The sequence below is a fragment of the Homo sapiens genome, chromosome 8 (assembly GCF_000001405.40).
Source record: "Homo sapiens chromosome 8, GRCh38.p14 Primary Assembly".
NCBI classification, from domain to species: domain Eukaryota; kingdom Metazoa; phylum Chordata; class Mammalia; order Primates; family Hominidae; genus Homo; species Homo sapiens.
This window is the reverse complement of record NC_000008.11, coordinates 40,332,345-40,345,904: the sequence shown is the minus strand read 5'-3', so window position 1 is coordinate 40,345,904 and position 13,560 is coordinate 40,332,345. Positions and strand designations below refer to the sequence as shown.

Genomic DNA, 13,560 nt, shown 5'->3' with positions numbered 1-13,560 from the left:
TCTGAGTGGATGGTGATTAGCGTGGGCTGGCATGGCCTTCAAGGAAAGGTAGGATGGAAGTGGTGTCTTTAAGGAGAGTAGAGCTGGACCAGTCAAGAGCAAGGGACAAGGTGCTTTGAATTGGAAAGATAGAATGTAAAGGTATAGAGGTGAGCTTAACTAGATCACATAGGAAGTTCGGTAAGGAATCTCTGCAAGGGGGTGTTTGTAATAAGGAAATATGGTAAACAAGTTTGATAGCACACAAAATCATAGAGTAAAAGCAACCTTCAAACCCACCTATAACATCTCTTATTTTACAGTTTAGAAGACTAAGGCTGAGAGGCAAATGATTTCCTGCGTTTTCTCAGCAGGAAGAACTGGGTTAAACATTCAGGTTTTTGTTTGTTTGTTTATTTGTTTATTTTAATTACAAGTGTTATAGGCCCAGGGGTGAGCATGCACAGAGAAAAGGCTTTGTGAGGACACAGTGAGAAGATGGCTGTATGCAAACCAAAGAGAGAGGTCTCCGGAGAAACCTGACCTGCTGACACCTTGATCTGGGATTTCCAGCCTCCAGAACTGTAAGAAAGTAAATGTTGATGGTTTAAAAAAAGGTGGGTGGATCACCTGAGGTCAGGAGTTTGAAACCAGCCTGGCCAACATGGTAAAACCTTGTCTCTACTAAAAACACACACACACACAAAATTAGCCATGCATGGTGGCAGGCACCTGCAATCCCAGCTACTTGGGAGGCTGAGGCAGGACAATCGCTTGAACCCAGGATGCAGAGGTTGCAGTGAGCAGAGATCCCACCACTGCACTCCAGCCTGGGCAACAGAATGAGACTTTGTCTCAAAAAAAAAATAAAAAAAGAAAGGGGGGTTATTGACTGAATGTTTGTGTCCCCTCAAAATCCCAAAATTTATTTGTTGAAGCTTCAAAGTCTAATGTAATGGTATTTGGAGGTGGGGTTTGGGGAGGAAATTACAGTTAAATGACATATAAGGGTGAAGCCCAAGTCAACTAGGATTCGTGCCCTTATAAGAAGGGTCACCAGAGAGTTTGCTCCTCCCACCACCCCCACCAGCCCCACATGCACAGAGAAGAAGTCACATGAGTGCACAGAGAGATGATGGTTGCCTACAAGTCGAAAGAAGAGGCCCCAGAATGAAAGCTATTTGGCTAGTACCTTGATCTTGGACTTTCTTCCCAGTCTCAAGAATTGTAAGAGATAAATTTCTGTTGTTTAAGACACCTAATCTATGGTATTTTGTTATGGTAGCCTAAGCAGACTAAGAAGGCAAGAGTTGATTGCCAAACCAGAGGCTTTCCTATATTCATTGCTGTCTCTTACAGGGCTGTTTGTAGGGAGGCTTAAGAGCACAGAAGTGAAGCTTACTGGCTGTGTGATAGCCCCAGATGCAAAACTGGTTTTGATCGTTACAGTCATGTGACTTTGGACATATTGGTATTTTTTTAAAACCTCTCAGTCTCTGTTTCTTCATTTGTGTAGTGGGGTTACTAATGGAATCCATTTAGAATGCTTTGCATGTATATATTAAATAATACATGCAAAGTGCTTATCATAATGCAGAGAACATACTAAGTATCTGATATGTTATCTATTGTTTTATTCATTTTCATTCATTTCTTTCATGGGAGACTGATATATTTGTTAAGATTATTTGAGATATATAAAGGTAGATTAGATAGAGGGCTTACTGCTTAACAGGAGAGATAAGATTTACAGACAAAAATTTATAATAAAAGATAAAAAGTAGTCAGGGTTGTCAGTCAGGCACAGATAAAGTACTGTGGTCATTAAGAAAAAAAGATAAATTTATTTGTGTGTATAATTGGAAATGGCTTTGAGGAAATGATGGATTATTTCAAAAATAAACATGCCAGAAAAAAAGCAACCAAATACTTGCTATCCTTCAGTCACTCTGGGAGGCTGTGCACTTATGAAGTGATTCTTCAGTTAACAGTCAAATTACATTTGGGAGTGGGACTTTAGGGAGGAAATTACAGTTAGATGACATCATGAGGGTGAAGCATAAGTCAGCTAGGATTAGTGCCATTGTCAGAAGAGTCAGCTGGGGGTGGTGGCTCACGCCTATAATCCTAACACTTTGGGAGGCCAAGGTGGGTGGATCCCCTGAGGTTCAGGGCTCAAGACCAGCCTGGCCAACATGGTGAAAACCCATCTCTACTAAAAATACAAAAAATCAGCTGGGCATGGTAGCAGTTGCCTGTAATTCCAGCTACTCAGGAGACTGAAGCAGGAGAATCACTTGAACCCAGGAGGTGGAGGTTTCAGTGAGCTGAGATCGCACCACTGCACTTCAGCCTGGGCAACAGGGCAAGACTGTCTCAAAAAAAAGAGTCACCAGAGAGCTTGCTCCTCCCTGCCTTTGGGAACTGCCCCCACAGTCATTGACGCAGTCACTCAGGAGATCACCTTCCCAATTGCATTTTAGAAGGAAGTGGCAGATTCATGATGCAGAAGGGAGGAGAGAAGGCAGGAGGTGAAGGAGATGGCACAGGCAGAGGTACAGAGTGGTGACTGAAACCACACGCCATGTTGGGAGACTTCCAAACAAGTCTAGAGAGTTGGCACTTAGGGATGAAGAAATCATCTTCTGGTGAGTCTGAGCAGTCCTTCCTGACCTGCCTAGCAGATACACTAAGTTAGAACTGATGCCAGTGGATTATTTAGGATATTGCTCAGGGAAAAATTGGGAAGGGTCATAGAGAAAGACTGAAAGGACCCAAGAATGAGATTGGGTAGGTCCGTGAGAGCCCAGGGAACTGGGTTTTCATGTGGGTGATGAGACATCATGCTGAACAGAAGTGCTGCTAGACATTCTTGCATTTTATTCTTTTTTTAAAAGGAAATGTTTTAATCATTACAAAATTAAATATGATCTTTGTTGTAGTGTTTTTTTAATTGAAACTTTATCAGATTAAGGAAGTTTCTTTCTAATCTGGATTTAGTGATCTTTTTTTTAATCATGAATGGCTATGACATTTAATTTTTTGGCTTCAATTGAGTTACACTGTTCTTCTTTTTTAATATATTAATGCAAGAATTTATACAGATAGATTTTCTAATGTCAAATCAATTGACATCATGACCAACTCGGACATGATGCATTTCTTTTAAACATTGCTGGATCAGCTTTGCTAGTGTTTTGTTTAGGACATTTGAACCTGTATTCTTGAGTGAAATTGGCCTCTCACTTTCTCTCCTTTGGACTATGCTTCTGTGGTTTACATTATGACAGTAATAGCGTCATAAAATAAGTTTGGGAGGATTACATCCTTTCCTCTGGAAGAATTTTATAGGATAGGAATACATTCCTTAAAGATGACATTTGACCACACTGGTTAGATACTGTGATGTTTTCTTAGTGGAAATTTTTTAAATTCAGGGTTCAATATATGTAGTGATTATAGAATCATTATTCCTTCTTGAGTCAATTTTGATTAGATTTTTAATTTTTTTTTTTTGAGACAGGGTCTTGCTGTGTCACTTAGGCTTGTATGCAGTGATGCAATCACAGCTCACTGCAGCCTTGACCTCCCAGGTTCAAGCAATCCTCCCACCTCAGCCTCCCATGTAGCTGAGACTACAGGCACTACCACATGTGGCTAATTTTTTAAATTATTTGTAGACATGGGGTCTCCCTATATTGCCCAGGCTGGTCTTGAACTCCTGGGCTCAAGCAAGCCTCTCACCTCAGCTTTCCAAAGGGCTGGAATTACAGGTATGAACCATGATGCTGGGCCTAGATTTTTTTCCTATGGATGTGTGCATTTTATTTATGTTCAAAATCATTTACTTAAATTATTATTTACAGTATGCTTAGTTTTCTTTTAAATTTCTGATGTTTCTTCTAAATTTTTATAGTTTCATCCTCCTTTATATTTCAAACATTCTTAATTTGTGCTTTATTTACTTGTTTTCTTAATCAATTTATCCAGGGTTTTTTGTGTGTGTACATGTGTTTGTTTTTCAAATTTTGAAGACCCAACTTTTGTCTTTGTTTACCTACTCTATAGCATCTGTTTTCTATTTCATTTATTTCTGTCTTCATCTTTATTACTTATTTCCTTTTGATTTTAGTTGAGTTTATTCTGGGTTTCTTATACCCAAAAGATGCAATCATATGTTGAGAGAAATGGCAATTAAACTTATTAAATTTTCAGTGGGATGAGTGACATGCTCCCTTACCACCAAAAAATGCCAAGAACTATTCCAGAGAAATACATTTAGGGTATGTTTTTAGGATTTAGATTGACCGGAATTCAAATCTATGGAGTTTGGGGTATATTAAATAGTTTTGTTTCTCCATTTGTAAAATAACAGTCAAAACAATTATACCTCATAGGGTCTTGCGGCATTTACATGAAATAATCCGTGTGCCATGCTTAACGCATAGTTGCCCTCACAATAGGACCTCAGTATACAGTGACAATTCTTACTGGCATATGGATAAGATAATAAGGAATTATGTGATGTCAGCCAACTGAGAGTAATAGACAATAAATGCTATAGTGTTGAAAAGTGGAGCACAACTGTTGGCTGGAATAGCCAAAGAAGTCTTCTGGAAGAATCTAAAATAAACTTGATGTTGGTAAAAGGGAGAAGCACTGGGACAGGCAGACAAATGGGCATAGCATAAGACATAAGAAAAAAGAACAAATCACCTTGAGATGGGATCCAGTTTTCAAATACCATCCTTCGCATTACTTACATTATAAGTACATTTCATAATTTGCTAATACACTGTCATTCTCAAGTTTTTAATCTATGTTGTCTTTGTCTCCCCTACAAATTCATTTTGTAAAATAAATGAAGACAGAGCCTTCATCTTTTATTTCTCCTGTGATCCTCCACAGCATTTAGTATTCTACTCTATATACAATGAGCACTTAATCACAATGCCTATTGCATGAATAAGTCCTTACTTCTGGGAGTGTGACCTCTGTCTTACTTTCAGCACTTATTCTTCTCATAGTGAGGGTGACTGTAGAATACCTAGTGACTATCAGGTGAAAAGTCTACAAGAAAATTGTTGGGGGGATAATTTGGAATCAGTCCACAGAGGAAATAATAAAAGGTTCTGAAGTTGATGGGTAATCCCTCAGAAATGTTTTTGATAAGACACCTCTTCAAAGTAAAAGAGAGAGCCCACTTTTCTCATAGATGGTGGAATGGTACGTCAATCAAGCTATTCTAGACACTAAAGGGGCTTCTGGCCAGGATTTGTGTTTTCTTTCCAAGCATGGAGCCAGCTGGATAAACCTTACTTAACTATGAGAAAGAACAATTTAGTAAGGAATTGGGAATGTCACATTATTTAGGAAATATCTATTACAAAAAACCAAATTACATATCATGTTAGTCTGATCTCATGCTACTATAAGGACATGCCTGATTCTGGGTAATTTATAATGGAAAGAGGTTTAATCGACTCACATTTCTGCAGGGTTGGGGAGGCCTCAGGAAACTTACAATCATGGCAGAAGGGGAAGCAAACACATACTTCTTCACATGGTGGCAGGAAGGAGAAGAATGAGTGCCTAGCGAAGGGGGAAGCCCCTATAAAACCATCAGATCTCATGAGAACTAACTCACTGTCATGAAAAGAGGATGGGGAAAACCGCCCCTATGATTCAATTATCTCCACCTGGTTTCTTCCACAACATGTGGGGATTATGGAAACTACAATTCAAGATGAGATCTGGGTGGGGACACAGCCAAGACATATCACATATATAACTTAAATTGATCAGTATTTAATGGATACCTAGTTGCCAGTTACCCTGTTGGTTCTTGAAGAGACAATGATGAGTAAGAATGATTTATATCCTTAAAGATCTTACACCAAAGAGAGAAGGAAACACATAGGTATGCATACCAGGATATAAAGTCAGGCTATGCCAAACACAAACATAGATAAACAGAGTGCTATAAAATTAGTGGATAGCAGAAATTAATTTTGAGTTGGAGTCAAGGAAGGTATCCCAGAAAAGGTAATACTGGAGATAATTCTTGAAGTACCAGTGGAATTTAAACACATGTGAGGCTAGGGAATTTTAAATACCTGGAAAGTGGCATGCTTCTGGAATGGAACACAGGCTGGCAGAATTGCAATTTAGGGTGAATGGGGAGACTGGTGGAGTCAACTGTTAGCTATATAATTCTGAATAAGATTTGAGAGGTCAAGTGTCAGGATGGCTGAGTGGTCTAAGGCACCAGACTCAAGCTTAAGATTTGGGAGGTCATGAGAAAAACAGAGGAGGTTAGATATGAGAATCACTGTAAGGCCATATATGGCAAAAGCTGACAACCAGTTGAATGCCACAGGTGGAAGCAATGAAAGAATCAATGATGAATGAGCTTTTTAGCTAAGGAAAAGCAGTAAATAGTGATGTCTACACCTGTAATAAAAAATCAGACACAAGAAACAATTTAGACATAGGGTCGACATATTGAAGATGAGATGTGAGTTAAATGTGGCTATAGAGGCTGCATTAGGAAATACGGGTTGTGAAAATATGCGATACTGGAAAGGAAAAAGGCTTGTTAGACTAGTATAAAGAAAGTTAGGATGGGTGAAAATTAGGTTACATTTTACATGGAAGGAAAGGAAATTGATATAATTTGACACAAAAAGCCTTAACTATAAGCTATCCCCCAATGACTCCCAAATCTACATCTCTAAACAGACCCTTTTATTAGAATCATAGGCTGTATATTTATTTAAATTATCATCATCATTACTTGGTTATAGGGTAAGAATTTCAAACTTAACATTTTCAAAACAGATTCATGATTGACATTAGATCATTGTGAGTGTATAAAAATGCAACTGATTTCTGGGTACTGACTTCTTATCCTGCTACTTTACTGAATTTATTAGTTCTAGCAATTTTTAGTGGTGTCTTTAGGGTTTTCTACTTATCAGATCATATCACCAGTGAACAGAAATAATTTTACTTCTTTCTTTCCAATTTGGATGACTTTATTTCCCTGCTTAATAGTCTGGCTAGAACTTTCAGTACCATGTTGAACAGAAGTGGCGTGATCTTGGCTCACTGCAACCTTCGCCTCCTGGCTTCAAGGAATTCTCCTGCCTCAGCCTCCCAAATAGCTGGGACTATGGGTGCACACCACCATGCTCAGCTAATTTTTGTACTTTTAGTAGAGATGGGGTTTCACCATGTTGGCCAGGAAGGTCTCGATCTCTTGACCTCATGATCCACCCGCCTTGGCATCCCAAAGTGCTGGGATTACAGGCGTGAGCCACCGTGCCCAGACAAATCTTTTTTTTTTCCACTAAGACTTAGCTTCTCAGGAATAGGTAACTAAACTGGTCAGATAACAGGAATTAACGAAGCTGTTGGGACATAAGGATGATGTTACGGTATGGCGTCTGAGAATATTGATGAGTTGTTTAGGTTTGTCAGGAAGGTGAGAGAGGCTAGGAAGGGACAAAGGGTTTGGAGGTTTGAAGGGGCACATGCAGGGTGTGAGTGAAAATGAAATGTAGGTGGAAGATACTGGTCGTAAACCAAAGATAAAATTCTAAGCTCCCCAGCCAACTGAATGGACCCCTCTTTTTGCAAAAGATTCCCCAAAGAAGCCTGAAAAATTAGTTCAGGCCATGACAGGAATCAGGGGGCGAATATACAGCATTATAGCCTCTTCCTTTTGGAGTTTAGACACAACTTACCAGCATTAACATTAAAACAGATATCTTAAAATGAACAAAACAGACTCCGTAGCAATAAGACACTGAGTTCCAACCTGACTCTGGTTTAGGATCATGTGACAGATGGTAGGCCCTGAAGAAAATCAAAGTATTTTACCCCAAAACATATTTCTTTGACATATTCTGAAATAGCCCTGCAAATTATCTCTTGTGGGGGAAATTTGCATTCTGTAAGAATCTCCTTCCTTCACCAAGTCTTTTCCAGAGAATCTGACACATTTAAGTTCTGATAAGAGACATTCACTATCTCTTCTCTCTGAAACTTGCTACTTGGAGGCTTCATCTACATGACAAGAACCCTGGCTTCCACAACTCCCTTGTCTAAACGCAAGCATTTTTTATACTGAATTCAATTCTTCAAGCAGAGCTTAACTCAACCAATTGCCAATCAGGAAATCTTCTAATCCACCTATGACCTGGAAGCCCCATGCCCACCCCCATCTTTCCCCCACCTACTTTTAGATGTCTGACCTTTCTGGGCCAAACCAATAAATACCTTAAATATATTAATTGATGTGTTTGTCTGTAACTTCTGTCTCCCTAAAATGTATAAAACCAAGCTGTAACCCAACCACCTTGGGCGTATGTGCTCAGAACCTCACTGGCCTTGCCAAGTGATCCCTAACCTTGGCAAAATAAACGTCTAAATTGATTGAGACATGTCTCAGATACATTTTAGGTTATATGGCTAAATTTTTTAATTTATCTGGTTTATCTCACAAGAGCTGAAAAGATCTTAGTGATGGCTTGGCCTGAGCTCCTCGTTCTGTCACTGAAAAAGTTATGGCCTGAAGAGGTGACCTGACTCTCCAGCATCCCGCAGTTAAAATGAGGTCCACCTGAATACAGCCCAAGTCCCCAGTCACGGATGAAAAGCAAGTCTTCTACTGGGCTCTTCTCTCACCCAACTTTCTTCCAATGGAGTTCCAGCTACCGTCACTCCTGCTCCCCTAGTTTTTGTTTGTTTGTTTGTTTGTTTGTTTGTTTTAAACCAACCTCAAAATTCTCAGTGACAAGGAAAATGTCTAAACTAGAGCCCTGCACTGTTTGCTCTGCAGTTCAGTAAGTTTTGGCTTCAGATCATTTGGAAGTTTGTTTCTGAGACAAGATACACAAATGTAACTGCCTCCAGGCTCTTAGCTTGCCAGCAGGACGACTGTCTCTAGTTGACAGGACCCGCTGACCCCTGCTGTTTGGATTGCTAACCAGGTTGTCTGACAGCAGGGTACCTTCCAGTTTGATAAGGGACAGTGGGCTCTGGATCAACGTTCATCATTCATCAGGCTTTCCACTCAGACTGGGAAAAATCTCATGGCCATGTTGGCTGTTGGTTCAGGGGGGCTAGGAGAGAGGCAGAGATGACTCACCTGGGCAAAAGCTGCACAGGAGTCCTCTGGATTCAGTGTGGTTTCTGGAAAGAGGTCTGTGTGGTGAGCTGAGAGACCTGCATTCTAGTCCTCCTCCACTGTCTACTCAGCACATGTGAATAAAGTCATGTCACCTCGCTAAGCCTTGGTTTAGTCATCTACAAAGTAAAGTGTCAGAGGAAATAATTTTATAGGGTTTACTCCTGTTCAAAAATCTGGAATGGCATGGAAAAAGATTGGCATTTTCTATATGAGGACCTATGTGATGAAACATGAGTGAAATGGAGTGTCCTAGGAAATTCCTGTTAACTGCTGGTTATTGATCATACTGATCATTATGCAAAGTGCGTTAAGAATGAACCCATGACAGCCAATGCCAGAATCCAGCTCTTGCAGAGGATCCAAGCACCATGCCCAGGAATAGGTTGGGTCTCTTCATGTAAAACAGAGAGAGGCAGGGAGGCCTGAGGCAGGACAGTCAGTGAGCAAGCTAGATAGACCTCAATTCTGGGGAAGAAGCATCTGCTGATTGCTCTGTTTTTTATTGGTGATGAATTGCTTTGGGTCCACAGATGTTAATTGTAGCCAGAAAAAGACCAGAAAGCTGCAATAGCATGATATATTAGGAAAAACACATGATTGGGAATGCAGCAGAGTTGGAGTCAAATCCCATTCTGGAACTAACTATTCATCCTTTCTGAATCTAAATTCTGTCACTATAACTCAGGGATAATTATATTTTTGCATGGGTTTTATGAGGATTAGAGACAACGTATGCAAAACACTTGGCACATGGTAAACATTTGCTAAATGTTATGCAATTTTATCAACGAGGTGTGGGAAAGGGATAAGAATTTAAGCCCAAAGAGCAGCACAAGTACAATGTGATTTTGCCAAACTCAGAACTTCTAAGGATACTTCTAGATCCATGTGTGGTTTTATAATGAGATCCTTGACACAGCCGTATGAGAGGGGTAATTTCTCAGGAGCCCCGGGTGGCAGCCATAGGAAGATGCACAGTTATATGTCTCTGAGCTTCCATATGGGGAGTACAGAAAATCCAGACTCCAAAATTTCTACAGAAGAGCCCTAAGGATGGCAATTTAGGAAGAAATGGGATCTAAGAAATTTCCATTGTGTGCACATAAATTTATTAATTATTAGAAAATATTAATTGTCCATATGAAGAAATAGAAGACACAGATTGAATGAGGGTTGGGAGACAAGGGCCTCTCCTCACTGTAAACCACAAATAAAATTCTAAGACCCCCCACTCCCCGGCCAACCATCTGAATGAGCTTCTTCCTAAGCCAGGGCTTTTAAAATTTAACCTGAAAGACTGTTTCAGGTCATGATGGGAAGTGGGGTTGGATATGATGCCTCATTATACGTCTCCAGGATTAATGTCAACACAGACTTTAGGTCTAATAGAAACATTTTACAACCTATTCTTCCTGAAGCCCTACTACCTGAAGGCTTCCTCTGCAAATAAGAACTTGAGTCTCCACAATCCTTCATCTTACCCCAGAATTTCTTTCATTTTTGTTTTTGTTTTTTTGAGGAGTTTCGCTCTTGTCCCCAAGGCTGGAGTCCAATGGCATGATCTCTGCTCACTGCAACCTCCACCTCCTGGGTTCAAGCAATTCTCCTGCCTCAGATTCCCAAGAGGCTGGGATTACAGGTGCCCACCACCATGCCTGGCTAATTTTTGTATTTTTAGTGGAGATGGGGTTTCACCATGCTGGCTAGGGTAGTTTCGAACTTTAATCATGGAAAAGAACAGCTATAGGCCAAATTCTAATAAGGGTAAAGGCATGCATATCTATAAAGCTCAATTTTTGGCTTCAATCTCCCTCTACCCCATACATATGCACACACACACAATATGCACACACACACAATACACACACCCTCATTAGAAACAGGACAAAAAACTAGAAGGCAACAAAGTTGCCATTGGTTCTCCACTCATATATCATTTATTTAATAAGCATAAATATAGAAGAAATAAACTTAACTTCAAGCAAAGATGGGCTGAGAATAGATAGAAGCCTCCCTAAGTACAGTTAACTGCAGTGACAAAAAGAATTATGTTAGACGTAATATCTAGATTAAATTAATTACATATTTACTAAGTGTTTTTATGGAGATTCAGAGCTAAAAGTTAGTGTTTTTAATCTTTTTTTTTTTTTTTTTTTGAGACAGTGTCTCGCTCTGTCGCCCAGGCTGGAAGGCAGTGGCGTGATCTCAGCTCACTGCAAGTTCTACCTCCCTGGTTCACGCCATTCTCCTGCCTCAGCCTCCAGAGTAGCTAGCTAGGACTACAGGCATCTGCCAAAGCCCGGCTGATTTTTTTTTTTTTTTTTTTTGTATTTTTAGTAGAGACGGAGTTTCACCGTGTTAGCCAGGATGGTCTCGATCTCCTGATCTCGTGATCCGCCCGCCTCGGCCTCCCAAAGTGCTGGGATTACAGGCATGAGCCACCACTCCCGGCCAGTGTTCTTAATCTCAATGAGCTCTAGTCCAATATGCAGCTTAACTGTATGCATTCATCGTAATTTTATGCCAATAACCTACTGCGGAGAATGGAAGGAGCAAAGGATGTGGTTAGATTCTTCTACCTACTTAATAGATAAGTGTCCTGGAGCGAGTGAGACGGAGTTTTAAGGCTTGGTATCTTTATCTATAATAGAAAGGTAATAATACCTACTCACTAGATTGCAGTGAGGATCAAATGAGTTAAGGTAAGTAAAAGAGCTCTATAAACTTTAAGAAGCCCATTCAAATGCTAATTGTTGCTATTTTCTTTCCCCTTAAGGGTACACTTGGTCTTTCCTGATGACGCTTTTAAGAGAAAGGCAGAGTTGACCCTGGGCTTTCAAAAAACTGTTCTTTCAGGTACAAACTACGAATTATGATTTTGAACTTCAAAAAAAAAAAGGGGATAACTTTCAAAAGTACCCAGTTTTGAAACACTCTGTCTATTCTCCTTCATTCATTCATCTCCCATTGTCATTCCATGCCATTTCCCAAACTTTAGTCCCTTCTTAACTCTTCCTCGTGAAAATTTTCTTTCTGCTTTCCTTTTCCTTCCCTCTCAAGGCAAAACCTCAGAGAGAACTGGCTGCTAGTGATCCTCTGCAGAGACCTTGAAGAGCACGGCAATTATGAAACTTCAACAAGAAAAGATTTAAGCTGATCTTTTAAAAAAATATATACTGTCAGGAATTTTGTAGAAATGACTTTAATGTAATAACTGCTTCTTTGACTTATGTTTTGTCTTGTGGTGAAAAGAAAAATATTTATAAAAGCATGCCTGTGTCCTAAAATTGGGGACACAAACTTAAATGACTGAAGGCACTTGAGGAGTGGAGGCAAGGATGGTGAAACCAGGCCCTGTACCAAGCAGGAGAGCGTGAACCTGCTAAAGAGAGTGACTGCTTCTCATTTCCAGTCAATGCGACTGGTGTCGCATTCCAGTCAAATGGAGTTGCGACACCATTTCAGCCACAGCGATTGATCTGGATTTTCTGTAAAATTCCCTGATTTTTACATATTGCCAATTAATTAATTAATTAAAAAGAAATGTAGATGTTCAACCATGCTGTGTACTCCGGAAATACCTTTATAAGACATCATGGGCCTAAATTTTGGGCCAAAGGAGCTAGAGAAAAAGTATAGGAATTCATCAGATCCAACATCACTACTGGATATTTAAATAGTCCAGGCCGGGCACGTGGCTCACTCCTGTAATCCCAGCACTCTGGGAGGCCGAGGCAGGCAGATCATGAGGTCAGGAGATCGAAACCATCCTGGCTAACACGGTGAAACCCTGTCTCTACTAAAAATACAAAAAATTAGCTGGACGTGGTGGCAGGCACCTGTAGTCCCAGCTACTAGTGAGGCTGAGGCAGGAGAATGGCATGAACCCGGGAGGCAGAGCTTGCAGCGAGCCGAGATCGCGCCACTGCACTCCAGCCTGGGTGACAGAGCAAGATGCCATCTCAAAAAAAAAAAAAAAAAAAAAAAAGAAAGATAAAATAAAAAATAAATGAAAAAATCCAGAGTTTATATCCTACTAAAGATAGATAAATGAACAACTTTGGATTCCCAGGGTTACATGAGCATTCATGATGATTTATTTATTCATCACCATTTGAATAGATCACTGGGCAAAATGTAGAGATGACTGAGATAATGCTTGTGTTTTGACCCCATGGAGCATATAATCTAAACTGAAAGGCAAGCAAGTATATACAATTGAAAATAGATTATAGGAATTAAAATGATGCAAATTCCTTTAATGGAGTGGTTAGTAGCATTGGCCATGGAGTCAAATGGGCACAGTATCAGATCTTGACAAATTACCCTTCCCCAGTCTCCTGAGCTATAGAGAGCAATGGAACCTATGTCACAGGAATGCTGTA

At 40.0% G+C, this 13,560-nt stretch overlaps 1 long non-coding RNA gene across 1 annotated transcript, besides 1 other annotated feature; it reads left to right on the top strand.

Annotated features, from left to right (window-relative positions):
• Nucleotides 1-2,541: 2,541 nt before the first annotated feature.
• SIRLNT (SIRT1 regulating lncRNA tumor promoter) lies at nt 2,542-12,732 on the top strand. The gene is made up of 3 exons (NR_156738.1): nt 2,542-2,627; nt 11,952-12,031; nt 12,236-12,732. It is a non-coding gene; the product is annotated as an SIRT1 regulating lncRNA tumor promoter (long non-coding RNA).
• Nucleotides 8,681-9,204: an enhancer, noted in NCBI's record as "NANOG hESC enhancer chr8:40194220-40194743 (GRCh37/hg19 assembly coordinates)". NCBI's record gives its function as "activates a minimal SCP1, AML or CMV promoter by ChIP-STARR-seq in primed H9 embryonic stem cells {active_cell/tissue: H9 hESC(primed)}" and the evidence as "EXISTENCE:reporter gene assay evidence [ECO:0000049][PMID:30033119]".
• Nucleotides 12,733-13,560: the final 828 nt, after the last annotated feature.